The 27,712-nt window shown below is 36.7% G+C and overlaps 1 protein-coding gene and 1 long non-coding RNA gene across 3 annotated transcripts in view; one reads left to right on the top strand and one right to left on the bottom strand.

Moving 5' to 3' along the window:
• LOC124902897 (uncharacterized) overlaps positions 1-1,437 on the bottom strand; it is a 71,084-nt gene extending 69,647 nt beyond the window's left edge. For both annotated transcript variants that reach the window (XR_007063242.1, XM_047429950.1), the window contains exon 1: positions 1,150-1,437. Coding sequence is in view for 1 of the 2 variants with exons in the window: in XM_047429950.1 (XP_047285906.1) it covers positions 1,150-1,222 (73 nt within the window). In the remaining variant the exon portion in view is untranslated. The remainder of the gene's footprint in view (positions 1-1,149) is intronic.
• The window catches only part of LOC105369698 (uncharacterized), a 90,315-nt gene continuing 62,837 nt past the window's right edge, over positions 235-27,712 (top strand). Inside the window, exon 1 of the long non-coding RNA XR_001749046.2 lies at positions 235-560. This is a non-coding gene — a long non-coding RNA (uncharacterized LOC105369698). The remainder of the gene's footprint in view (positions 561-27,712) is intronic.

The following is a 27,712-nucleotide window of genomic DNA, read 5'->3' as shown; positions in this document are numbered from 1 at the left end:
AGAATTTACCAGATACATGCTTTTAGCAGAATGAAACTTTCAGCAGCTGTGTAGATAAAGCCTCGGCCCTACCCCCATCACTTCTGGATCCTGTTCTGTGTCAGTATTATTGGCTATATTCAGAAAACACTATGCATCTCCTCTCTGGCCATTTAGTGTAAAGCTGACTTCCATGACAATATCAATTCTATTTCTCTCTCCTTTTATCATCACCCAACTCATCATCGCATTTCTACACATTGCTTCATGAATTTTCATACAGGTGCATGCTTTCCTGACAAGTTAGATCTATTTCTTTTGTAAAAGTTTATCTTTCCACTGCCATCTTCCAGTTGGCAATCATCTCCTTCTTCCCATCAAGTCACATTGATTTCTGTTTTCCTTGGCTGCCACTGTAAATTTGCTGCAAGGAAAGGATTAACAGTTCCTGGAGACTATCTGTGCTGCACCGGGTATAACCACAGAGTTAGAAAGGACTGCTACCGGCACCCCTCAAAGGAAACTTGGCAAAAGAAATCCACTTCCCATCACCTTGCCACAGCTGCAAATGCCATTGTCAGGTAATTTATATTGAACTTTTAAAAAGTGTTTCAAGACAGAAAAATAGTGGGAGTTGGTAGAGGCAGTGCTGTTTTTACACTTCTCATTTGTTCCTTGGTGTCTGAGATATAAGTTCACTCAAAAAAGAATGTTAGGAACTAGTTTTACTCCAAATGCCAAAAGAACAGTACTCTTAGCTATTTTCTGACTAAAGGGGGCTAGAATAATATATAGAAGAAATTAATCAATACTACTTCTTTCTTTTCCCAAGGTGTTTTGTTTCCATTTATAAGTCTGAGATGAAATCTTTCAGAAAAAAGAAAAATGAAGGGTGAAAAAGCAAAGTACCCAGTTCTGGAATTCCTGAACCTAAATACATATACTTTTTTCATAGTATTTTTGAAGTTATATTTACAGAGAACAAATCTATTCATAACACATGAGCCAGTTTCTTTGGCTCATGCATTTATTTTGGTAGAGATTGGGATAAAACCAGTACAACCTTTAGAAGGTAGTGACTCAAAACAGTAAGAGGCTCTATGGCTGAGAATGCCCAGATGGCTGGTTTGTTTGAGCATGGAAGATAAGTAAAGATGCCGCAATGCTTACCGTTACTACTGGACAAAATCTTGCGATGGCCTATTTGAAAGGCAGTAGGAAGCCGAAGTCCAATAACGATCATAAAATGAATATTGAATAAGCTATTTACTCTGGTGTAGTGAAAGACATCTACGTTTAAACCTGAAGATTTAGAGATCTCATGTATCTTCTCGTCTAACCTAAGAATTCAAAGGATGAGAACTGGTAGGCCACAGAACTAGATGGCTATGAAGTGAGCCAAGAGCACGAGGCTCCTAACTGCCAGTCTCTTGCGCAGCCTATTGCCTTGAAGAAATTGCTGGGCACATTGATCCCTCTCCTTTTCTCCTCTAGCTTCCACGACATCATCTCTTGGTTTTTCTCTTGTCATCTGACCATTTCCTCTAAATTTAAAGTTCTTCAATCATAGGCTCCTGCTTTTTAAAATGTTCACTTCACCTAAGTTTTCACCTTTGGGCTTCTTCTCTTTTCAATCGACATTCTCCTTGGGCAAACTTTTCCCCTGCTGTTACCTCAGTTACCAAGGGAGAAGGGAAGAGGGGGCAACAAGCATCAAGCACAGCACAATGATTCACTAAGGATAGGAAATATCCAAAAAGACTGTAAGAAGGGGAGTTATTTATGGCCAAATTTTCAGCAAAGTGGTGGGTCAGAAGATCCAGAGATTAAAGAGAGTCGTTTGGGGGAGAAACACAGACTACTTTTAATTTACAGAAATTTGGAAGAGAGAATATGGCAGCCAACTGAAAGAGACTTTTGGTTTTATTTTTAGGATGGGAGATAATTTGAGCGTATTGATTAGCTGAATGCAGGGCCAATAATGAGGTGGGCTGAAAATGAGAGGGTGAGAGAACTGATGGAGTGAAATCCCAGATAAGTTATGGGAAGCCAGGGTCAAGGGGACAGATGGAGGGACAGGCCTTGAACAGCAGAGCACCTCATCCTCTGAGAGTGGACAGAAGAGGTAAGGATGGGTGAATGTAGATCTGTTGATATGTTGGGGGGACATTTGGGCCAATTTATGACAGATTCTTTCCCTTTTATAAGTAAGTAACAAAGCAAGATGTTCTTCAGAAAGTGAGAGAAATCTCACAAATATCAGCCCTCATATTTGAAATGAGAGGAATGAAAGCAAATGCTTTCATTCACTCAATAAGTGAGGTGAAGAGACCATAGCTAAGAACACATCAAGAATTCATGCACAGCACTGAGGAACCAGTTGAAGCTGGAAAAATATATTTGTAGTGGTTCACATCTGCATGGTAATTTTTTCTTCAGTTATGCTTATTTGACTAGATATAGGAGAATAAAATTCACATTATTGATCCAGCATTTTCCTGAGAAGAATTTGGTGCATGGAAGGTACACTAAAAGAGACAGAAATTTAAAAGATTGTGCTAGACCGTTTTTGTATTGCTATAAAGAAACAGTAGAGATTAGGTATTTCAATTAAGAAAAGAGGCTTTATTGGCTCACAGTTCTGCAGGCTACATAGCCATGGTGCCGGCATCTGCTCAGTTTCTCGGGAGGCTCCAGGAAGCTTTTACTCATGGTGGAAGGCAAGGTAGGAGCAGGTACATTACATGGCAAGAGCAGGAGCAAGAGAAGGGGGAAGATGCCACAGAATTTTAAACAACCAGATCCCTCAAGAACTCACTATTGCATTGTGAGGACAGAACCAAGCCATGAAGGATCTACTCCTATGACCCAAACACCTCCTAACAGGCCCACCTCCAACACTGGGGATTCCATTTTAGCATGAGATTTGGGCAGGACAAATATCAAATCCATATCAATGATCAATCACACATCCAAGGAGTAACGACACTAGAGGATTTGAAAAGCACTTACATCCAATGGAATACAGGCATTTAAGCACCTACTTGACAGTTTGGTGAGTTTTACCAATTTTTTTTTTTTTTTTGAGGTAGATTCTTGCTCTGTCACCCAGGCTGGAGTGCAGTGGCACGATCTCTGCTCACTGCAAGCTGCGCCCCTCGGGGTTCACGCCATTCTCCTGCCTCAGCCTCCTGAGTAGCTGGGACTACAGGCACCCGCCACCACGCCCGCCTAATGTTTTTGTATTTTCAATAGAGACAGGGTTCCACAGTGTTTACCAGGATGGTCTCGATCTCCTGACCTCATGATCCACCTGCCTCGGCCTCCCAAAGTGCTGGGATTACAGGCGTGAGCCACCACGCCCAGCCCCAAATATTTATACTAATATAACCTTCACCACAATCAAGGTATGGAACAATTCTATTACTACAAAAAGGTTTTTTTCTTTACATTTAAACACCTATTCATTACTGATAGCCCTCTTCATTCCTTTGTGTAGATTTGTTTCCACATGGTATTATTTTCCTTACACTTAAAAAACTATCTTCAACACTTATGTTTATTTTTATTTATTTTTTTTTTATTTTTGAGATGGAGTCCCACTCTGTCACCCAGGCTGGAGTGCAGTGGTGCGATCTCACCTCACTGCAACCTCCACCTCCCGGGCTCAAGCAATTCTCCTGCCTCAGACTCCCAAGTAGCTGGGATTACAGGCACGTGCCACCATGCCCAGCAAAGTTTTGTATTTTTAGTAGAGACGGGGTTTCGCTATGTTGGCCAGGCTAGTCTTGAACTCCCGACCTCAGTTGATCTGCCCACCTTGGCCTCCCAAAGTGCTGGAATTACAGGCGTGAGCCACTGTGCCTGGCTGAAGAAGCTATTTCGACACAGCTCTTTCAACATGATAAAAAAAAATCATCAAAGTTATAGATTATGATCATTATTTTTTAAATTACCAACAAGAAGAAATAGACATCCTTTCCTCATCCTAAACCTCTTCCTCCCATAATCCTTTTCTGCTGAAGAGTAAGATGCCAGTGGCTTGAAAAACAGGATGGAGATCACAGGCAATGAGGACAACGGTGTAGGACTTAAGAAACATCTGACTGACAAGACAAGTGATATTTGCAAAAAAATTAGTTATTTGTCAATTTTTCTCATTTAAGAAAAGGTCATCAGTTTCTCTAAGCATTTTTTGTTAATTGAGGTATAATTAATATATGATAAAATTCACATTTTTAAAGTGTACAACTAGGTAGTTTTTAGTATTTTCACAAAGTTGTGTAACCACCACCTATAGTTTCTTAATTACAGACAATTTTTATCACTCCAAAAGGAAACACCAAACTCATTAGTATTCATGTCTCATTTCCCCTCCCCGTCCTGGCCCCTGGAAACTACCAATCTACTTTCTATTTCTATGGGTTTGTCTAGTCCGGATTCCTCAGTTAAATAGAATCATATGACATGTGGCCTTTTGCGTCTGTCTTCTTTCATTTGGCATAATGTTTTCAAGGTTCATCCATGTTATAATACATATCAGTACTTCATTCCTTTTTATGGCTGAAAAATATTCTATTGTAGGGATAAACCACATTTTGTTTATTCACTCAATTGATAGACATTTGGGCTGTTTTTACTTTTAAAATTATGAATAATGGTGCTATAAACCTTAATGTACAACTTTCTGTGTGGACATATTTTTATTTATCTTGGGTAGATACCTAGGAGTGGAATTACTGAGTTATATGGTAACTATGTTTAACTTTTTTGAGAAACTGCCAAACTGTTTTCCAAAGTGGCTACATCATTTTATATTCCCACCAGCAATGTATGAGAATTCCAGTTTCTCCACATCCTTGTCAACACTTGTCATTGTCTGTCTCTCTGATTATAGCCATGCTAATGGGTATGAACCTCATTGAGGTTTTCATTTGCATTTCACTAATGAATAATGATGTTGAGCATCTTTTTATTTATTGGTTATTTGTACAACTTCTTTGGAGAAATGTCCATTGAAATCCTTTGTTCCTTTTTAAATTTTTTTTAAATTGTTGAGTTGTGTAAGTACTTTATGTATTCTGGATACCAGTTTCTTATCAGATACATGATTTATAAATACTTTCCCCCATTCTGTGGGTTGTTTTTTCACTTTCTTGATGGTTTACTTTGAAGCACAGAAGTTTTTAATTTTGATGAAGTCTAATTCATCTTTTTTTTCCCTTGTTACCTGTGTTTTTGGTCTTATGTCTAAGAAACAATTGCCTAATCCAAGGTCATAAAGATTTATGCCTATGCTTTCTTCTAAAAGTTGTGTACTTTTAGCTCTTACATTTTGGCCTTTGATTCATTTTGAGTTCATTTTTGTATATGGTGTGATGTATTCTCAAACCATTTTGATTGATCTACATTGCTGTATTTTGAATGATCTTCATCTTAAACACTGATTTCTCTCATAAAATTGTGAAGGTTATATTATTTTACTGTCAGTTAACACATGTGTTTTTCTATCTAATAATCAATATATTTTCCTCTGTCCTTAAAAATATAGAGGACAGCAACTCCGTATTTTTTAAGCTTTCTCTTTTTCCATTTTTCTTTTAGGGCTATGTACTAGATAGTAAGCCTGACCTTGCTATGTTTCTTAGTTCAATTAGGGGAAATGCTCATTTAAATTTTAAATAGCTCTCTTAGTACTCGATTGTAAGACAGATGTGATAATATTTTTAGAACCCAGCTTCAGAAGACAGTTATACACATTTTATTTTCCGGATACAGAGGTTATTTGTATACCTATACAAGTCAAATAATTAAAGTCAAACCTCCTTTAATCGTGGTAGATGAGAAGGATGAATAGACAGGGTCATTAGTGTCTGATTCAGGAAATCCTTGAAGATGTTTAAATGAGTGATTTTAAATTAACTGTTTTACCATAGCTACATAAAAATGGCTTTGTGGAAATAATTTCCTTTAGCAAAAATACTTTTTTCCAAATTTTTTAATAAAGATCTTTTTAAATGACTATTATATTCAATCAAGTGGATGGATATACCATACTGTATTAATTTTTTTTGTTTCAAAATCCTATCCTTTAAGTGGATTCTAAATGGATTTATCATATCCTGTACAATATACCTAACATTTGGGTTAGCTCTAGCCAAGCTTATTGACTAGAGCTATGAAAGTGTTAGTTTTTCTCTTTCTCTTGTGGCCAACTTTTAATGCTCCTTATAATAAGTAACTATTAAATACCCAAAAGATATTCAGTTGTGTTAAAAGAGCCATTTATAAACATTTATTTCTCTAAATGTAAGTTTCTATATAGTTTCATTTAAGTCATTTATATTCTTACTTTCCAGAGTGAATTAACCAAATGAAAAAATTCTATTAAAATTGGCCTTTTAGCCTAAAAGAACAAAAAATGACTTGTGTACTTGGCAAAAGGACAGAGATATTGTTTATCTGGACAAGGCAGCAACCAGTGAATGTAAAATAATGATTTTTTTGAAAACTGCCTCAACATACCATTGAGTATTCTCACACACTTTCTGGTGGGCTCTTCTGTGGCTCTGGTCTTCACACTGGCCTTTGGTCCACAATGCAAATCATAGGTGTTGGGACAGGTCGCTATGTGAAACTATTCCCGTAGAAAGAAAGCAATGCAGCTTCCTAATACAAGGGAAAAAAAGAGCAAAGAAATACTTAAGCTCTCAACTTAAAATATGCAAGACATTTGCTTATTTGCTTTGTCAATATTAGAGAATTTCTTGTTACAGGATATTAGCTGAGGTTGAGAGGCCTTAAAAGTCCCAAGTAAGATATTAAAAACAGTTAACATTTAAGAATCATTGAGAGTCCTTTTCCCTATTTTTTAAGGCATATGCTAATCATCAGTTGAAATCAGGTATTTCCTCTCATGGAGTACTATTCCATAGTTAAGTAAAAGATAGGGTTTCCTTTGAAGTATCTGATCACTGCTTGTTGTAGGGGAACTGACAAGGAAGGGCATTCATTATGTTTTTTTAACCATATAGAAACTTGATTTAACAGTTTATAAGGATGACATTTATTTTAAGCTATTGCATTGAATATAATATTTCCCTAGGACTGTATTTTCATTTACTCTTAGTATATTACCCATTATTTTATTTAGTCATGAAACTCACTTATTTAATTCAAATGCTTTCATTTGCTCAATAAGTTTGCTCAGTAAGAATTAATTGAGTAGTAACCAGCACCAGGCACTGGGATCCATAACACTCTCCAGGAGAGAGACCAGTGGGTTATTTTTGGGCTTAATATGCTAATGGGTTGGGGGTACAAGGAGCCACTGTATTCAAAACAGAATTGTGTGTTGCTTCTTGAGGCAGGGAGGATACTGTATGTATCTTTGTATCTCCAGTTATATTTTAGGCACCCAAGTACATTTTTTTGAATTGAATTGAGTAGAATCATATAGTGTTTGTCTTGGAAATGTATATCAAAGATCATTTAGTGTCTAGTCTAAGAGGTTCGTAGAAGTGTCCAGAGATTGCCAAAAGGCGGGATGAGAAGGCAGATTTCTAAGAGTCCCCAACTTATATTTTAATTAGTATAGCCTCCATTTTATTTACTAGGCACCTGTATAACATTTTGGTTTTTATTAAGATGTATCTACTACTAAAGAAATTTAGAAAACCACTGATAATTCAATTGCCTCATTTTACATTAAAATTTCTGTAATTTTACAAATAAGGCAAATCTATTTTTCAGCATACTGTATCAGTTACACATTATTTAATCTTTTAAACAACAGATATAGTTCAGATCACGTCCTCTGCCCTTAATTCCTTTTTTTTTTTTTTTGGTAGCTGTTTAAAAAAGAAATGGGGGAGTGTGACAGCCTAAAAATAATTTTCTCAAGAAATGATGAAGCAATAGAGTACAAAAGCCTTTGAAGATCTCTAGCAAGCTATGTCAGTGTCTGTAATGTGAAACTGCTTGAGGTCTCTTCAATGCTGTGTGCCCTCACACTGTGAATGAATTCATTAAAACAATGCAGAATTCATCTGGGGCAAAAAAATAAGGAAACTAATTTTTACATGGCTACGGAGTGAGGATAAGATTCTCTCTTAATTTCCTTGGCCTAATGGAGAACACATACATATGCTATCAGCTCATCTCTATCATTAAAAATAAGTTAGAAATGAGAACATGCACAATCATATCAAGGCTTGTCGATTTAAAAAATCCACCCAAGAAAGATGTTTTGGAGATTACTGAGACTCTCAGCTCCCATCAAAGGTGAAAGGAGATTCAGAGAGCAAAGCATCAGTTAATGTTGAGATCTTTATTATAAAGCAAAGCAAAATTGCCTCCTGCAGGTAACTTGGTGTTGATACCTGCAGAAAGAGAGTGCTTCCAGATGACTGATCTGATCGTGTGTCATACACTTAAACCTAGGTAGTCCAGGCTTAAGTCAACAAGACTGATTGAAAACTTTGAGGGCCATGAAATGACGACACTGTCATGAAAGATGTGTCTCTTTGCAAGCAGAAAATTACAGAAAGCACTAAAAATAAGCATTTTTTTTTCCTACAACTGAGATTGTGGAACTTTTTTAACTCCAGAGAATGGAATGCAACTCTCTGGTGGACTTTTGTCTTCTATTTTCAAAAGCGTTTCTTACAGCTGAAAATTTCAAAGGCACAGTTGAGACTAAATGTTATTTACAAATTCCAGAAGTCTACGAACTTCCTTTTCTTCATAAAATGGTCATATCAACCCCAGCTGAATATTTTGAGTTCATGTGTCTATCAAAAATGTAGTGAACTAAATGCCTACGAAGTCAGCTGAGGCCACATGATTACTGAAAAACACGATACAAAAAGTGAAGAAATGAAGGCAGTCCTCATGGTCCCTTGCGCAGTGGCAGGCCTATCACACCATTTTAGTGTTTAAATGCCAACATGATGAAGCAGCTAAAAGCAAAGGTCATTAGTCTTCCGTGGATATGAGAAAAATGGCTATAAAAGTAGCAAGGAAGGAGTAGACAGGCAGTGAGCGAAAGCACAGCAGGTTGCAAAAGTAGAGTTAGAGAGTAGTTAAGGCAAGATGGGGAGAGGTTGAGAGGGTGGAGAATGGATGCCTGGCCAACGACAGAGAAGTAGAGTCACAAAAATAAGGGATCAGCATATAGAAGCCACCAAACATTTACTGAAATGGAATTGAGTAACATTAGTAATAGGTAGTAGGAGACAGAGATGAGTTGGTGTAGACCCTTTCTTTCCTTTTTCTGCATTCCATCACAGTAAAAAGTAAAATGATATGATTAAATTGTTTTTCTAATGAAAAAGAAATGACCACTCATGACAGCTCTTTGCTGAGTGTCTAAAATGCGTGCTATACGTATCTTGGTAACAAAGTATATTTTGTCCTTATCCCTTAAATATGTTATAATTCTAGTTGTACTTATTACATAAATTCCCTAAGGGACAATTCACCTTTGGTTGCAGAGATGTAATCTTTGTATTTCTTATAACAATTTTTCTGAGTTTTATTTTGTGACCTTTTCTCAGATGACCATTTTGAAAAATAAATTTTTGATTTTTTGTCAATGTGAAATACTTGGTGTACTCTAAAAAGACACATAGGCTTATAACAAAGCTTAAATAAAACCAAGCAAAATGTTACTACTATGCTCTTTCAAACTCTGCTTTCTACAACGGCAACCACTTTCAACAGAGGCTTTATCTCTCTATTTCCAGATACTGTGTCTGTATGACAGTGCACTTCTCTTACACACCCCCCCCCCACACACATTTCCCTAGAATGGTAACGGGCAGTTTTTCTAATATGAACTATAGACTTTAAAGCTCTTGCTAAGTGTGTTCTGCTGAACAACTAGAACACTTTTCTCATTTCTGCAAGAGTGCCCATGATTTGTGGCACTGGCCCAAGCAAATCCAAAAATCAGCTTTAGCAGAATATAAAGCTCACAAACCTGGACCTAGACTCAGTCTCCAGCTTTTCTGGGAGAAATTTTACATACTCCTTGGTAATTTGGATGGCGTTATTGTTATTCAGAGTTCATTCTTCTAATTTGAGTCACATCTGTGACTGCTTAGCTGAACTGGGAGCCTCAGCATTAAGCTCTATCTTCATTTGCTCAGGGGACACATGGTGTGTGTGGGAGCCATCATGCTTTGTTTTTACAAATCAAACTCTTAATTAATTACTGAACATACTGCAATTCACTAATCAAGCTGTATTTTTTTTCAGACATTTCTGACTGGTAAATATCTAGTCATCTGGCTTTGCAATATATCCTCTTGTCCTTGCTTTAGACAAAAATGGTGGGAGTCATTGGAAATGTTTCTTTGTATATGTGATTTGTTCATTGTCATGCATGAACTTGGAAGAAAACAATTTCTCATTGAACTTTGTATTTGTTTAGGCTACATTGAGAGACAGTGTTTTTGAGTCAGAAGAAGTATTAATTGCAAAATTGTAAAGACTTGGGTTCAAATTCTGGCTTTGTCATTTCTAATTGATTGAACTTTAAAGTTTCCTATTTGTAAAACGTGTTTTGAAAATTAAATGAGAAAAAACACATACAGCACTCACTACTGTGCTTGGCATCTAGCCAGGAGTGAAGTTGCTAATCATTCATTCCTTTACTCCAACGAATACTTACGGAACACCAACAATTTCCTAGGCCCTTGGGCATGGAGGAAATAATGGCGGGCCAGGTAGACATAGCATCTCATCACATGAGGCTTACACTCTGGAGGGGAAGGGTCCTAATAAACCAGAAATAAATAAATAAGCTAAATATTTGCATGTATATTATAATCTCTCTCTATTTTGTTTTCTGGATCATTGTGTACCTATCTCATTTTGCCTGTAGATGGAAAGATGAGCAGTATCTTACACCCTCTTCTGTGTCAATATCACCATTGCGTATATTAGGAAACATATATCTATTGAATAAATAAAGGAACAAATGTAAGAAAATCTCTAGGCTGTCTATATATTTAGAATGGTTTATGCCTATAAAATTGTTTTATAGGAATATTTTATTAAGCATATGATTTACAAAATTTAAAAACTTCTTGAGATGTAAAGAGGCAGTGTAGTGCAAAGGTTAAGAATAATGAGTGCCCTGCACCCAGATGTCCCGAGTTCAAATTGAAGTAAAACTGGTTACTAGCAGTATGACTTACCCTCTCTGTGCCTCAGTTCCCCCACAAGTAAATATGAATAACAAATATCTATGTAACATAGTTCTCATGCAGATCAAAGCAGTTATTTCACGCAGAGCACTTGGAACAATGTCTGGTTCATGGCAAGCACTTAATATGTAAACATTAGTTATTTTTCTTTAACTGAGAACTATTTTTCAAATAGGGATCTATAACCAAATGGGAGTTCTTGGGAATATACCCAGGAATCTTCAATTCTGTATACAAAGTTTATATTTTGCATTTTCATTTTGATGAAAAATTTCTAAATATTAAAATTAGCTTATTTTGGAATATCTACTAAGCAATTTCAGTGACCATATTTGTACTTGCACTTAAAGTTGCTTTAGGTGATCACCTGACATGACCATGTTTAACTTTTAGTTTCTCAATCTGGGATTCCATATATTCTTGGGAGTTTACAAATTTTCAAGACAGAAAAATATTATTTTAGAACATTCAGCATATATGTGTTATAGGTCATAATAGAAATGTTCATGATGCAAAATTATCTGTTATTCAACACATATTTACTGTGGTCATCATTAGTGCTGTCTGCCAATTGTTTTGAACTCTCTGTCTTCAGGTCACATGGTAGGATGTCACTTCTTAGCCTTGTTTGAGTTTAGATGGTAAGGATATCAGGGGGCTGGCCAATGAGTGGTGAGCAAAATGGACACGTTATTTCTGTACTAAAGTGTTTCAATGCTGATGTAAGACCTCCTAGAACCTATGTTTTAAGTTTTAGCTGTTCATTGGCTGCAACCTTGAGCCTCCCTGCCAACTTAAGTTGGGTATGCAGCATTTGTGAGAAGTAATCCCTCCGCTGACTTAACCTATCATGGTTTACATGTTGTTTTTCACCATTACACCCTGACTGGTATGTACCTTTATTTCACCTACTGTGTTCAAAACATGTTGATGTGTTGTATAAATCAGAAGTAATCCAGTTTCCTAGTGCAGCCTTCTCCTCTCAGTGTATGCCCTGCCAAATAATATTTTAAGGACTAAGTTAATGTGAGCCCTCTTGTCTGAAACTACCACTAGTAATTCCATCAAGTTCATGTTATTCTCTCTGATAAATGAGAAGAATAATAAAACACCTACAATCTCTACACTTCTCACCAGATGGTAAGTAAACAATAAGAATTTATACCTTTATTCCTACAAGAGAAATGGAGAGCTGACCCAGAAAAAAATAAATATTACTTGGCAAGATGTTCAAACTCCACCCAACCCTCGATATGCTTAATCCCAGCTTGGATCTCTATTAGGTTGCCCAGCAGTGGTTCCTGGAGGCAGCTTGAGGCAGGTGCAGAGGGCAGTGGTTACTGTTAACAGTGGTTCCTTGATGCCCCGTTTCCTGGTCATGATTCTCAGCAAAGCCTCAGCAGCAATCCTTTAGAAATGATATTGCCTTTTTTACTCTCGGTCAGTCACAAGACCCAGCTGAGCCCACTGGAGGCAATGTGACAGTCTTTAAAAGAATATATCTTTTAGACAACTGCATGTAAGTGTCACTCTGGCTGCAAGTTTAGGTCTAGTTGAGCTAATGGAAAAAGGAAATTGTCTTCTTGCGTTTATTACCATGCAATCTAATAATATCTCTGCTCTGCCCCAAAGTGAAACACGGGCCCAATGTCCTACAGGTTCTTTCTCATCCCCGAGCTCACTGTCCAAATCTTTCTGAGATATTCTTCCAGGGGACTGGAGTTTATATCCCAACATTTTCTCATGGCAGGACCTGAACTCAAAGAAAGAGGCCCGATCTCAACCAGAAAATCTACTTCATAAACCACCCATCCCATATGTTCAGTCTGGATTAGGTGCTTGGAAAAATTACCCCCAAGACACAAAAAGACATCCCAGCTCACATCTAAAGCTCTAAAGCAGGAATATGGAAGTGAGATACTTTGTCTTTTAGCAACATTTAGACCTCATGAAACATTAATGAGTACATTGGAGAAATTTTTTCTCTGGAAGCACCAGAAAAGAAATTAATAAGTGCTTAATATAAGCGATTAAGCTACCATATTGCACAAAAGAGGGAAAGAGGGAAGAAATAAGGCCAGAAAGTTTTATGGGGACATGACCACGAAGGATTTTTAAGACATATTAGAAAGTTTGGCTTTATCATTAGGACAATGGAAAGTCATTAAAAGATCTAGGTAACATGGTAAGATTTGCATTTTACATGATCACTCCGCTTTTAGTGCAAGATGTTGGGGTCAAGACTTGGAGTAAAGACAGAAGTAAGGAAGTTGCTTCAGACATTCAGGTGAGAGAGTGGAGGCTTTGACCTGATCGGGTGGGAGATTTAGTATGCAGTCACAAACTTGGGAGTCAACATAGAAGTGAGTGTTTCACAGCGACCTGAGGAATTGAGAGAGCACAGGGAATGTATGGAGAGAACAGGCTCAAGGATAGACCCAAGAGGAGCATCAGTCTTCAGAAGCCTGCCCGAAAAAAGAGTTGCTGAAGGAAACTGAGGAGTATCAGGAAATAGGTATACCAGGAAAGAGTAGTCTCACAAAGCCTAGAGGCGACATTATTTTTAATAGTGTTGTTGTCTGGGTGCGGTGGCTCACGCCAGTAATCCCAGCACTTCAGAGGCCGAGGCAGGTGGATCACAAGGTCAGGAGATCAAGACCATCCTGGCTAACACGATGAAACCCCGTCTCTACTAAAAATATAAAAAATTAGCTGGGTGTGGTGGCAGGCCCCAGTAGTCCCAGCTACTCAGGAGGCTGAGGCAGGAGAATCGCTTGAACCCAGGAGGCGGAGGTTGCAGTGAGCCAAGATTGTGCCACTGTACTCCAGCATGGGCAACAGAGTGAAACTCTATCTCAATTAAAAAAAAAAAAGCAGTGTAAAAAAAAATGTAGTATTGTTAAGAGTTACATACATTAGGAACCGAAACCTTTTTGTTTTCATTCAAAATTTTTTAAATTTTTAATTTAATTTAATTTTTTCCTTACACATAATTTTCTTTAGTAATCTTTAACTGAATTTTATTTTATTTTTTATAATGTCAATTTTTATTATAGATATGGTTTGAATGTTTTGTCTCCTCCATATGTCATGTTGAGATGTAATCTCCAATGTTCAAGGTAGGGCCTGGTGAGAGGTATGGGGCCATGGCAGCAGATCCCTTATGAATGGCTTTGTGCCCTCCCCACAGTAATGAATGGTAATGAGCTCATGTGAGATCTGGTTGTTTAAAAGTGTGTGGCACTTCCCCCTCTTCCTTGCTCTCTCTTTTGCCATGTGATATGCTGGCACCCCCTTCACTTTCGACCGTGATTGTAAGCTTCCTGAAGCCCTCACCAGAAGCAGATGCCAATATCATGCTTCCTGTACAGCCCATAGGACCATAAGCCAAATAAACCTCTTGTCGTAAATTACCTAGCCTCGGGTATTCCCTGACAGCAATACAAAATGGACTGATACAAAGAGGTACACATGCCGGTTTGTTACACGGGTGTATTGCATGATGCTGAGGTTTGGGGCACAAATGATCCTGTCACCTAGGTAGTAAGCATTGTACCCAATAGGTAGTTTTTCTGCCCTCCCCTTTCTCCCCCCAAGTAGTTCCCAGGGTCTATTGTTTCTATCCTTATGTCCACGTGTACCCAGTGCTTAGCTTCTGCTTACAAGTGAGAACAAGCAGTATTTAGTAACCAAAACCTTTCTATTGAATTTAATAACCAAGAGATTCCCGTTGGAGCAAGTGGTGTCAATGGACCACAGCAGGAAAAATTATACTGTGGTAAGTTGATGAGTAGAAGAAAAGTGAAGAAGTGAAGAGAACAAATATAAGTAGCTCTTTCAAGAAACTAGGCTTTGAAAGGAAGGAGAGAAAGGAGAAAAGCTGCAAAGAGACACAGGGCTCAAGGAAAGTTTCTTTGGTTTTACTGATAGTTTTAAGGAGAAAGGGAGAAGACCTGGAGAAATGGAAAGAAGGACTTGCTCCAAGGAACAAGCCAGAATGGAATTCAATGTATAGGTGGGGAGATTAACTTTACACTTTAAGGACAATACCTCTCCCATTGCACCTGGAGGGAAGCAGAGAGGATGGCTGTGGCTACAATTACATTTCCAAGTTTGGTCACAGTCAGTTAAGGGAGTTCTTATCTCCTGGCTATTTTCCTTTTGGAGTAGGAGGTGAGAGCATCTGTTGAGATTGAGGTTGAGGTTGGAAGTTTGAGGAGAGTGGAGATTCTTTGAAAGGACTGCTATAACGAATTGGAGACAGAGCTGAAGATGGAAACACGAAAGTCTTCCTTCCAATCTGGGGAAGATTATATCTTGCTCACAAATGAGATGTTAAATGAGATGACATATGGTAAGTCATACATGGTTGGTACAAAATAACTCAGTAAATAGTAGTTATTATTATTATCAACATCCTTTTCTTTTCCTTCTCCTATTTTGTACCACAACACTAATTCTAGCTTTTATCTATAGCTCCACCTCTTTCCTTCAGTTTGATCTGTTTGGTGTCTTTTAGTTTCTTTCCAGCCTCCCTCTGCAGTTTGGTGGTTTTACATAACACCTTCTTGATACTGTCCAAACTAATATGGCCTGGATCCCAGGGTATCTCCTGATTCTCCCAGAAGGACAGTTTCTCATCTCTCTCTAGAGCTCATCTTCAGACCCCAAAAAATATTGAGTTCAGGAGACTCTGTGAGCTTTCTGTAGCTCCCCAGAGCTTATTTGCAAGTTTAATATAATAATGGTCCCAGTTTCCAATAACACGATTCCATGAAAATAAATAGGTTAGAGGATCATATTTCATTGTTTATAATATGATAAAGCTGAAAGTATGACTTGAGGTTCTTGCATGCAAAAGGAGGCAGCTATTGTGTCTTTTATATTTGCAATTGCCAACCCACATACCATAGGTTAATGTATCTTAAAAAAAAAAACCCTCACTTTTATAATAAAACAAAACTGATATCCACAATGTTGCTTCTTCCACTGTTTGAGCTGCTGTCAAAGACACTTTGGCCCGTTTATCCAGTGCTTTCTCCCCTCCTGGAGCTCTCAGCTTCAGCTTCAGCTTAGGACCTTCTCTCCACACTGCATGACTGGAGTCTTGCAGGGATCTTGGCTCTGACGATCTGTCTACATTTCAGAGTCGGAGAACATAGGACAGCCATCCTGCCTTTTCCCAACTCCTTGTCCTCATTTATTATCCTAGGCAGGCTTTTCCCACCTCCCACTCCCTGGACCCAGCCATGTCCTGCTCCTCTCACCCATTGCCACTTCCAGGTGGATAATACCAAACTGAATGCTTTATAAGTGGATGAAAGAGTTAAAGGCTCACAATAGATGATTACTGAACACTATGGAGAAATTAAGCCTCCTTTTTAATAAATGATAAGCCCTTCTCATGTCTGGTGATCCAAAACTGTATTTCATGAGGCTGACCATGCATATATCAAATCATAAAACTCTTACAACTCATACCCTGACTGCATTTTCAGGGGTATCTACTATATATTTCAATCTTATTATTAAGGCAGTGGAGCTTCATCAGTGCTCACTACATAAGAAATCATATGAAAGTCTATTATAACTTTAAAAGTACACAAGAAATGTGGCTTTTGATGCCTGGTAGAGGGGGCATGTAGACATACCGGAAACATCATCAGCTCTCTATCCCATTGAAGTTTGTTTGAAAGAAACTGAGGATGCAGGTACAAAATGGCTGAGTGATTTTTTTTTCTGACCAACGGAGCCGCTCGTTAGCAACTTGAAAGGATGCCTAGATCCAAAATAGTATTAAACAAGTGTTTCTTCAATATGAGATCATTATGTTTCTCTTCTAAATCCAAATACTAATTGCAACCTTGCTGTGAGCATACAATATTAAGGCCATCATAGCCATGGCAACAGAATGCAACATGAAGTGGAATCCTATCATCTGCACAGTGTTGTTAGTGGTTTGGGTGGCAGACGAGCACTTTCTTACAACATCGCTATACAACATCGCTAATGTCCAATTCCACAGAGGGGATTGCATTGCATACCTTTAGGCAATTTTGCCACACAGGTTCTGTTATCTTTGAACATTCTGTGTATCTCTATAATTAATTTCAATACAGGATGGCTTGTTAATCCACAGACAAAAATACAAGCACAAATTAAAATTTCAACAGGCACTTTACAATGGTCATTTACATTTCAAAATTAAACCCATAATAAAAACTTTTGTGTACTTATAATTGGACTGATTTTTAACACCCAATGATAAACATCTATGTAAATAGCCTCCCAAAGATTTTACACTTAAGAAAAAAAAGCACTTTAAATGAGCTGCTTAAAGTCACCTTCTCTGCTTTGCATGATAATTGTAATGCAAAATAATAAACAGCACAGGGCACCGAGTACAACACTTTTAGGATGATAGGGTGCCATTTATATGAAGATAATTAGGTATTTAAAACCTACCAATACCAATTTAAAAACCTACCAATTAAAAAAAAAACAGTGTGCTTACAGTAAACTCATTGAAATAAATTTCCATTCGCCTTTGCTGTGCTTTCATTGCAAATATGTCCACAGCTTGTACAGACCCAAGGACTCTGTTTTTGTGTGTAGGAAGTGAGGTGTAGATTAAGAGTTCGTAACCCAACCTCTCTTTCTCTAAAAAGAAAAAGTATTTTGTGGAAATTTGCTGTAAACATATGAACCATATGCCATTGTTAAAAAGAAAAGAAACACTTGTGTTGGCGGAAAGACTTGTTACTATTAGGAAGATTGAGGCGTGAACAGAACTCCAAGCTCATTTTCTCCTAGATTTTGTTGGAAAGAGCAAAAGAGACAATGGGATCTGCCATCAACATTCAGAGGCAAATGCATTGGGCTTTGCTTTCAGAGTTATTGAAACAAAATTCACCTTCTCAAGAATTTACCTGAGAACAGACCATGAAATTCATGCAAAAGCAAGAAATAAAAAGGCCATGCAGTTTTCTCAGATATGTAAAACATGCCATGTCATTTAGAGTGCAAGAAATGGGTAACACTTGAGCAGTAAATTTCTAGCAGATCAGCTGATTTTTTCAAACCATTATTAGTGTTATCTTTATTCGTTAATTCACTCATTCATTTATCAAACATTTAATAGTCTCTTGCTTTGTGTTAGACAGTATACTAGAAGCTGGCAATTCAAATATGAATTCAACTCAAAGAGATGAAACATACATGTAAACATACAAGTAATTTTGGTAAAATAGGGGAAACTTATTAATGAGTTCTATACAAAGTGCAATGGAGGCAGAAAGAACAAAATGACTTAATTTCCTGTCAGAAAAGATTTCATGACAACAGGTAACATTTGAAGTAAGTGTTGAAGGGTAATCAGGTGTTTGATGGAGGATGAAGAAAGGAGAAAATTAGGTAGAGAAGTCTGGAAGGGACTTTAGAAGCTGCAGACATCAAAGCAAGGGGCTTTGGTACCTGCAGGTACATAGTTCTAGATCACAGGATGTTTGTCTGCAGTATATTCAGTGCTTCCCTATTTACCATTCTATTAAATCTTATTTCTTCAGCCTGATCTACAAAGCATTTCGTACAAGTTTAGGGGGAATATTGTTGACATAAATAATTGTAAAGCCCAGGAAATTATTATAGGCAGAGCTGAATTTAAGTGTTCAGAAGAATCTTTCTCTGTCTCTAGAATTTGCTTTCCTTAGTATTGGCTCCATCCTTAGAGCTACACCATATAAGTCTAGCAAACCCAGCAGAAATTTTGATTTGTATAAGGAAGGATTTTTTTCCAAAGGAAAAACTGGATTGTTCTTCCTGAATTGTTCACCAACTTCCCAGAACCATTTATTGACTAATCAGAGTTATTTTATGTATACAAAAAAACTGGGACAGCCAGTATTCTTCACTATATATTTAGTTAAATCGTGAGTTAATTCATTCAGTAAACGTCTATTGGATGCTTACTATATGTCAGGTACTGTTTCAGTGATCCGTGTATATATCTTTGACATATTTTTATTTTTAAAATCTTTGCAATTTGTTTTATTGTCTGTTGAGTCAATGTTTTAAAAAATGTGGACTACATAGTTCTGAAGATACTGAGGCTATTTTAGACCCAGAAATAAAAGATGTGGAATCAAGCAGTGTGAATGTTATATCCCTTTCAGTTCTCTTTCATATTTCTAATTATGTCAGCAAAAAGTCTGTCTGGTTCCTGCTTGTCTCTAATATCCTTTTAACGAAAAAGAACGAGACTTTGGTTTAGAAATTTTGATAGGCTCGTAGATAGACAAAATTTAATGACAATGTTTTATTTGAAAAATTTTATAACTTTTATATAATTTTAACATGATTAAGGTTCTAAAAATTTTTAATATAAAAATTTTATTTTAATTTATATAATTATATCCTATTAAAGACAAAAAGTGCTGGTTTTCTAGTTATGCTGCTTCTTCTTATGTAAAGTTATTTATGTAATATATAGAAACTGTTTTAAACAAAGATTTGAAGTAATTAATTTGTTGGTAATATGTGAATGGAGTAAAAATTGTGAGGACAATATGCAAACAACTGAAATGTGCAATATCCCATAATAAGGAATGACTCTCCTGCCATTCTAAAATTTTTAAAGGGAGCAACTCTTCTTTCTCACTACTAAGTACCATATTCGATATTGGTTTAAGAGTTACTGTTTTTGTCACTTGGGGACGTGTCTTTCCATTTCTTTATAGAAACATAACTTTCTCCTTTTATACGCAACTTAATTTTAGGCTTTACTATATGTTTGAAGTGTTGTATTTGTGCAGAATACTGGCCAGAACTCCAGGGCACTCAGGCAGGAGAAAGAAATAAAGCATATTCAAATAGGAAGAGAGGAAGTCAAATTGTCTCTATTTGCAGATGACATGATTGTATATTTAGAAAACCCCAGCGTCTTGGCACAAAATCTTCTTAAGCTGATGAACAACTTCCGCAAAGTCTCAGGATACAAAATCAATGTGCAAAAATCACAAGCATTCCTATACACCAATAACAGACAAACAGAGAGCCAAATCATGAGTGAACTCCCATTCACAATTGCTATAAAGAGAATAAAATATCTAGGAATACAACTGACAAGGGATGTTAAGGACCTCTTCAAGGAGAACTGCAAACCACTGCTCAAGGAAATAAGAAAGGACACAAACAAATGGAAAAACATTCCATGTTCATGGATAGGAAGAATCAATATTGTGATAATGGCCATACTGCCCAAGGTAATTTATAGATTCAATGCTATCCCCATCAAGCTACCATTGACTTTCTTCACAGAATTAGAGAAATTATTTAAATTTCATATGGAACCAAAAGAGAGCCCGTATAGCCAAGACAATCCTTAGCAAAAAGAACAAAGCTGGAGGCATCATGCTACCTGATTTCAAACTATACTACAAGGCTACGGGAACCAAAACAGCATGGTACTGGTGCTAAAACAGATATAGAGACCAATGGAACAGAACAGAGGCCTCAGAAATAACGCCACACATCTACAACCACCTGATCTTTAACCAACCTGACAAAAACAAGCGATGGAGAAAGGATTCCCTATTTAATAAATGGTGTTGGGAAAACTGGCTAACCATATGCAGAAAACTGAAAGTGGACCCCTTCCTTACACCTTATACAAAAATTAACTCAAGATGGATTAAAGACTTAAACGTAAGACTTAAAACCATAAAAAACCTAGAAGAAAATCCAGACAATACCATTCAGGACATAGGCATGGGCAAAGACTTCATGACTAAAACACCAAAAGCAATGGCAACAGAAGCCAAAATTGACAAATGGGACCTAATTAAACTAAAGAGCTTCTGCACAGCAAAAGAAACTATCATCAGAGTGAACAGGCAACCTACAGAATGGCAGAAAAATTTTGCAATCTATCCATCTGACAAAGGGCTAATATCCAGAATCTACATGGAACTTAAACAAATTTACAAGAAAAAAGCAAACAACCCCATCAAAAAGTGGGCAAAGGATATGAACAGACATTTCTCGAGAGAAGACATTTATGCAGCCAACAAACATGAAAAAAAGCTCATCATCACTGGTCGTTAGAGAAATGGAAATCAAAACCACAATGAGATACTATCTCATGCCAGTTAGAATGGTGATCATTAAAAAGTCAGGAAACAACAGATGCTGCAGAAGATGTGGAGAAATAGGAATGCTTTTACACTGTTGGTGGGAGTGTAAATTAGTTCAACCATTGTGGAAGACAGTGTGGCAATTCCTCAAGAATCTAGAACCAGAAATACCATTTGACCCATCAATCCCATTCCTGGGTATATACCCAAAGGATTATAAATCATTCTACTATAAAGACACATGCACACATACATTTATTGCAGCACTACACACAATAGCAAAGACTTGGAACTAACCCAAATGCCCATCAATGATAGACTGGACAGAGAAAATGTGGCACATATACACCATGGGATACTATGCAGCCATAAAAAAGGATGAGTTCATGTCCTTTGTAGGGACATGGATGAAGCTGGAAACTATCATTCTCAGCAAACTAACACAGGAACAGAAAACCAAACATGGCATGTTCTCACTTACAAGTGGGAGTTGAACAATGAGAACACATGGACACAGGGAGGGCAACATCACACACCAGGGCCTGTTGAGGGCTGGCGGGCTAGGGGAGGGATAGCTTTAGGAGAAATACCGAATGTAGATGATGGGTTGATGAGTGCAGCAAACCACCATGGCACATGGATACCTATGTAACAAACCTGCACATTCTGCACATGTATCCCAGAACCTAAAGTATAATTTAAAAAATATATGTTTAAGGCAAAATAAATAAATAAAATACTGGCCAGAACCAAGACTCTGATAGAACTTAAATTGGTGGTAGTAATCGTTGTTTTCAAAGTAGCCAATTTGTTTGCATTCAGCTGTCTTCTTCTTGACCACCCCAAGCTAGACTTTATATATGGCAAAGCCAAACTTACCTGACCAATATTTGTGAAATAGAATTTTTGCCAGATGGCCACTCTGAAAGATTCTATAGCAAGAAGGTAAAGTTCTTCCGTTCTGAAAGATCAGAATTTTGAAAACTAGACTAGAATTTGTACATAATCTAATGCATTTATGTTTTATAGATAACCAAGAGTCCCTTTTCTAAGGGACTACTAAATAACTTTGAAAAATATTGTACGGTTGGCTGATTTTAAATATTCATTTGCATAAATTATCAATGTTTATTCATATTAAGGCAGGGCAAATTTCTTATTCTTCATTATATTTAAATTAATGTATATAAGGTTCAATCAGAATTTATGTTTCCTAATTTTTATTTTTCTGTTCAGTTATTAATAGTGGAATAAAGCAAGGCATTTTGTCCTTGTTATACCAGCTTAAGATATTTGTAGGCTATTTGCTTACAGATAATATGAGTTTATCAGAAGTTCATGGGCTTGAATAATAAAAAAATTTGAAGTTTGGAAGAATAAATAGGAAACAGAAGAAACAGGAAAAGTTAATGAGTTCCCTCAAAATAAGAGGGAGATGGAAAACAGCTTCAAAGAGTATATCAGAATCAAATAAATGGCTAGAAATTAATTGGGAAACTTATATAATGTAAATAAATAGAAAAATATAGAAAGTCATCATAAACAGGAAAGTGACCATTTATTTTCTTATTTTTTTTTCACTTTAAAATACAAAAACATGTAGGCCTTTAACTGACTGTAAAGAAGTCACTGTAAGGCATGAAGGTGAGAGAAATTCACTTTTCTTTCATTGTGCATCTCAATGTCACATGCTTTGCTTTGTCCCCTTTTGTTATCTCCAAAACACATGCATATCAAGTGAAAAATAATATATCAGAAATATGGAGAAATAAATCTTTACATACCAAAAAAACTGAACTATTTCTACTCCCCAAAATATTTGCATATTAACAGTGCTGTAAATACTAAATTAGCAGAAATAATAAATTAAATTGATTCTACCATGATTTGCTTAAATTATTTTGCATATCTTCATAATTATACCTCAAAAGAAGAAAATAAAGGATAAATTATAAGTGGAAGTTTTATTACAATGTTAATAATAGTTGATATTTAATTGTGATCACAACTTTAATCTTATCTTTTTCCCACGAATAGCTCATCTTTCTTCTTATTATCTTGTTTTCAGTACAGAATTATCACCCACTGGTTTTCAATTACAGAGATGCCCGTATTGATTCTACTCTTGATTTTAGCTCACAACTGAAAAATTACTCATTTAAGCCTATAAAGCTGTATTCTGTAGCTAGTTTAAGCTCTTTTAAAAAATTATGTCGACTCAAAATACAGAAAGATAAAACTCATAAACAGTACTGTTCAGTTATATGAAGCTATTGGGAAACAGACTTTAAATTATTTTAACTCAATTCACTATTAAAATGTAAGAAGACAAATAGTAATCAAAAATGTCATCACCATATGGAGGAAAACTTGATGTCAGTCACAGCATTTATAAAGAACAGGTGGCGCTTAAGCAATCAAAAACCCCTTATGGAATTATACAAATGTAACCTAAATTCCATAGATCTGTGGTAAAGTGATGTACATAAATTAGACAAAAGATCTTTTATTAACACATACATTCTAAATTGTTTGACTATAATTTCCAAAGTTTCAGAAGGAATGAAAATATTCTCCCATACATCACATTGTTTACTTCTACATTTTCTAAGGAAATAATTGCATTCTTTGTTTCTTGTCAAAGACTGTGCACATTATTTATTTTAAGAGGGAGCTCTGTCTCTGAAACTACTGTAGGTGTTCTAATATACTTCATCTCAGGGAGCTGGCAGTGGGAGTGAGGGGAGAGGCAGATCCTGGGGGTGGCCTGGTCTTGAAGACCGTCAGCCGGGCCATTAGTGTGTGACTGGTCCCAGCTCCACAAAGGGGACTCACTATTCAGCCACAGCACCTGCTGTCCAGAGAAGCTGTTTGGAATCCTCTCAGTCTGAGAGCAGTGCTGGTTCTCCACAGTGTGCAAATCTTAAACCAAAGCCAAATTTTCTGAACTTAAATTTTACACAGTTCGGAGGAAGCCATTTGGGGGATAAAGAAAGCTGGCTGGAGCAAGTGAAAATACTGAAGCAAAACCCTAACTTCAAAATGTTTTGAGGAAGAGCAGATTAGTATTTTGACCTATGCTTTTGTAGCAATTTTTAAATTCTCACAATAAAAATCTCCTTATACTTTGATATTTCCAAATAATGTTAATAGTTATGCCCATTGATAATTGGAATAGAACTCTCATTTTGAAAACACATTCTGGGCTTGTATTTCATTTGAGGTCTTCTATGTGACTTGAGGAGAGCAATTAGTGGCCGCAGATTTTCCACTGTTAATAGGTGAGCCTTGTAATTACCTCCGAAAGGAAATTCCCCTTTCTGAGTTCTTCCATATTAATCTAATTTCTGGAATTCACTGCGTAGTGTGAAATCCCAGATGGCGGACTGGAGTGCTACTGACTCAGTTTGTTTCACATTTTTATTCAGAATTCACATAAATGTCAACTTTCCGCTGATTTTTTTCTTTAACAGGAGAAGAAAATTCAAGGTTAAATTTTTGAAGAAAATAAATTGAGTTCCTCTCAACTGCACAGATCTACTAAGCAGAAGTCAGTCATTAAGATCAGGACTAAGTTGTTTCCATCATTTTATGTATTTTAGTGCTTTTATGTTCACTTTCTTTTTAGAGTATGTTAAAAATGCACAAGTTGCTTTTGACCTACCTAATATCTTGATAATTCCTCTGTGCTTAAATTATGATATACCCAATCGTTGATTACAAGGCAGCTGGTAGCAGTAAAAGTTGCAGATTCAAATTTACTTCTCACGTACGAAACTACCTTAATCTTAAGGCATAATTAAACTCATATTAACATTTCCATATACTGACTCTTACAGCACTTATTGTGTGCTTCTCTTAGAGCACTTGTCACTTTCTACCTGGCCCAGTATACATATACATACCTCCCCTGAACTTCTGTAAGAAGGAATGGAAACTTGCTTATGTATCTATCACTGATCCTGTGTCTCAAAACACCTGACATGAAATAAAATCAATAAATATCTGCAGAATGAATAAAACAAAAGATAAATGAATGCATGTTATATTAGCCTCTTGATATTTTCTTTAGGGTGCTATTTTAAAAATGTATCAAATCAGATCACAACTATTCCCCCAATAATGAATGGATTTGTTATACGGCTTCTGATTTGGGGATAGCATTGGATATCAGTATTTATGCTGACAAATCTTATGTCAGAAATATTTTCATTCATATTTTTAGATTTATTTAGGTGGATTCAGTGTTAGTGTCATTTTTGGTCTAAAAAAATGAGTATACCACCTTCTACCTAGTATAGCCTGAGTATGTGAGGCGGTAAGGGGCTGTTTCTAAATTATATTAAGCATCTTTAAATACCACTTAGGGTGAAGGGAAGAATTGCTTAACTTTTTTTTTTTTTTTCAGAATATTCTAGGGCACACTGTGAGTTGCTAAATTATAAGTAAATAAATAACATACAAACATATATATACACACATACACATGCACACACACAAACAGGGAACATAGAAGACAGGAGTATGCATTTTCCTGTTGAGCATATAATAGCAAAAATAGTAATAATAGTTGTTAATATTTATTTAGAACTGCCAATTGTTGACAATGCACTGTGCTAAGTGCTTTATATGCAATTTCCAACTTAATTCCAACAATCATCCTACACTATAGGTACTACTGTTACCCTCTTTTTTCAGAGAAAAACACTGAAGTTTATGGAAATTCAGTAACATGACCAAGGTGATGGGTGATAAGTAGCAGGATGAGGATTCACACCTAAGTATATCTCACCCTATGCCTTTATTCTTCATTTTGCTATGTGGTCCCCGTGTTTGTGTGTGAAGTTGCTGGTCATTAGCATGACCAGCGGGGGTCCCATATCCAATCAAAGATACCCATGTTTGCTTCTTATGTTAAATCTTTACCTCCTTCTTCACCCATAAACATAGGGCAGTCAATGCAATCCAATTGCCAGTGAAATTTCGAATAAAATTTCTTCTCTGGAAATGTGCACTGAGGTTAGAGATTTAAGTGTCACCCCCTCATCTAGAGGGTGTAGAGCTGGTGCCCTCTTGTAAGAAGCAGAAAGAATTTGAATCCATCTGCGAAGTCACCTCTTTCTGGTAATCAGGGGATCTTCCCCCACTGGGTTCAAAGGGCTTCCCTCTTCTTTGTTGTGCAATTTCTAAAGCATTGTGCAATACATAAAGAAAAGACCAAGAACATATCATTGCCTTGGAAACTGCTATGGAATTTGACAGACTGTAGGTTGTTCAGAGCAAATGTTCTGTTGCTGCACGGAGTCCATGCAGTAGCAATGACTGGCAAAGTGGCTGAATGCTCATCTGTTAATCTTGATGTCAACTTAACTTGTCATCCCTGCCCTAAGGATAGGGCGGGAAGTTTGTCTTGTTTGGCTTTCTTTAAATAAGGACATTTGAATTATTTCATTCCCAACTGTCAATGATGAAATACAAAGACAAGGGCTATAGACAAAACAGCAGCTTTCTGGGGGTAGCTATCCATAGCTGATGGAGATGACAGCATTTGAAACCTCTATATTTTTATTAAATGAATTCTAACAGCATAATCTTGGGAAGCTATACTGCTTCTTTTAAAAATAATTGCAACTCTTATGCCACATTTATAACAGCAAAAGGTAAAGAAAAACCTTCTGGCTGCAGACAATACTACTTACTGTGGTCCTTTCTAATGAAATGTAAAAACAAATAAAACTCAGTAAAAAATAGGAGGAAAAAAATTAAGAAATGAAGGTAAGGAGTCAGTCCTTGGGAGCTGTTTTCCAAGAACCAAATGTGACTCTGGCTAGTTGTAGCATTTTATTTATTTGTTTGTTGGTGGAAACACTGAGAATAAAAATAAAAGTGATCCTTTTGTGATCCTGTTTGGCCGTGACAGATTCCTTCAGCATTGCCATAGTAACTGAGAGAAGTGCATTTATGAATAGACTTAGATTTCTAAGGCTTGAGTTTCCTGCCAAGAAGAGAACACAGGGTGGGGAAAACAGGGGAAAGTCAAGGCAAAGGAAAAGAAAACAGATTAAGGTGTTGATTTCCAAATTCTCTCATTTGGAGGTGCAGGAATACAATGGTCCGAGACAATCTCACCTTCTTGGGCCACCTAAGATTTTTAGACATTAAAATTCTTCCTTTTTCAGCAACTTTAGGCAATTTCTTCAGTTCATTTCAATACCAAGAAGGGGAAAACAGCCCTCTGGATCATCAACATTTATGCATAGGACGAAGGAGAAAGCCCTCTGATATGGCTAGATAAGAACACAGAGCAGAGTTAGCAAAGGTGAATGTAAACTGGGCAAGGGAAGTAACAGTCACACTTCAGGCAAATGACCTCCAGTAAAGAAAAATCAC

This window comes from Homo sapiens, chromosome 12 (genome assembly GCF_000001405.40).
Source record: "Homo sapiens chromosome 12, GRCh38.p14 Primary Assembly".
Lineage (NCBI taxonomy): Eukaryota > Metazoa > Chordata > Mammalia > Primates > Hominidae > Homo > Homo sapiens.
The sequence above is the reverse complement of the archived record's forward strand: the minus strand, read 5'-3'. Positions and strand labels throughout refer to the sequence as shown.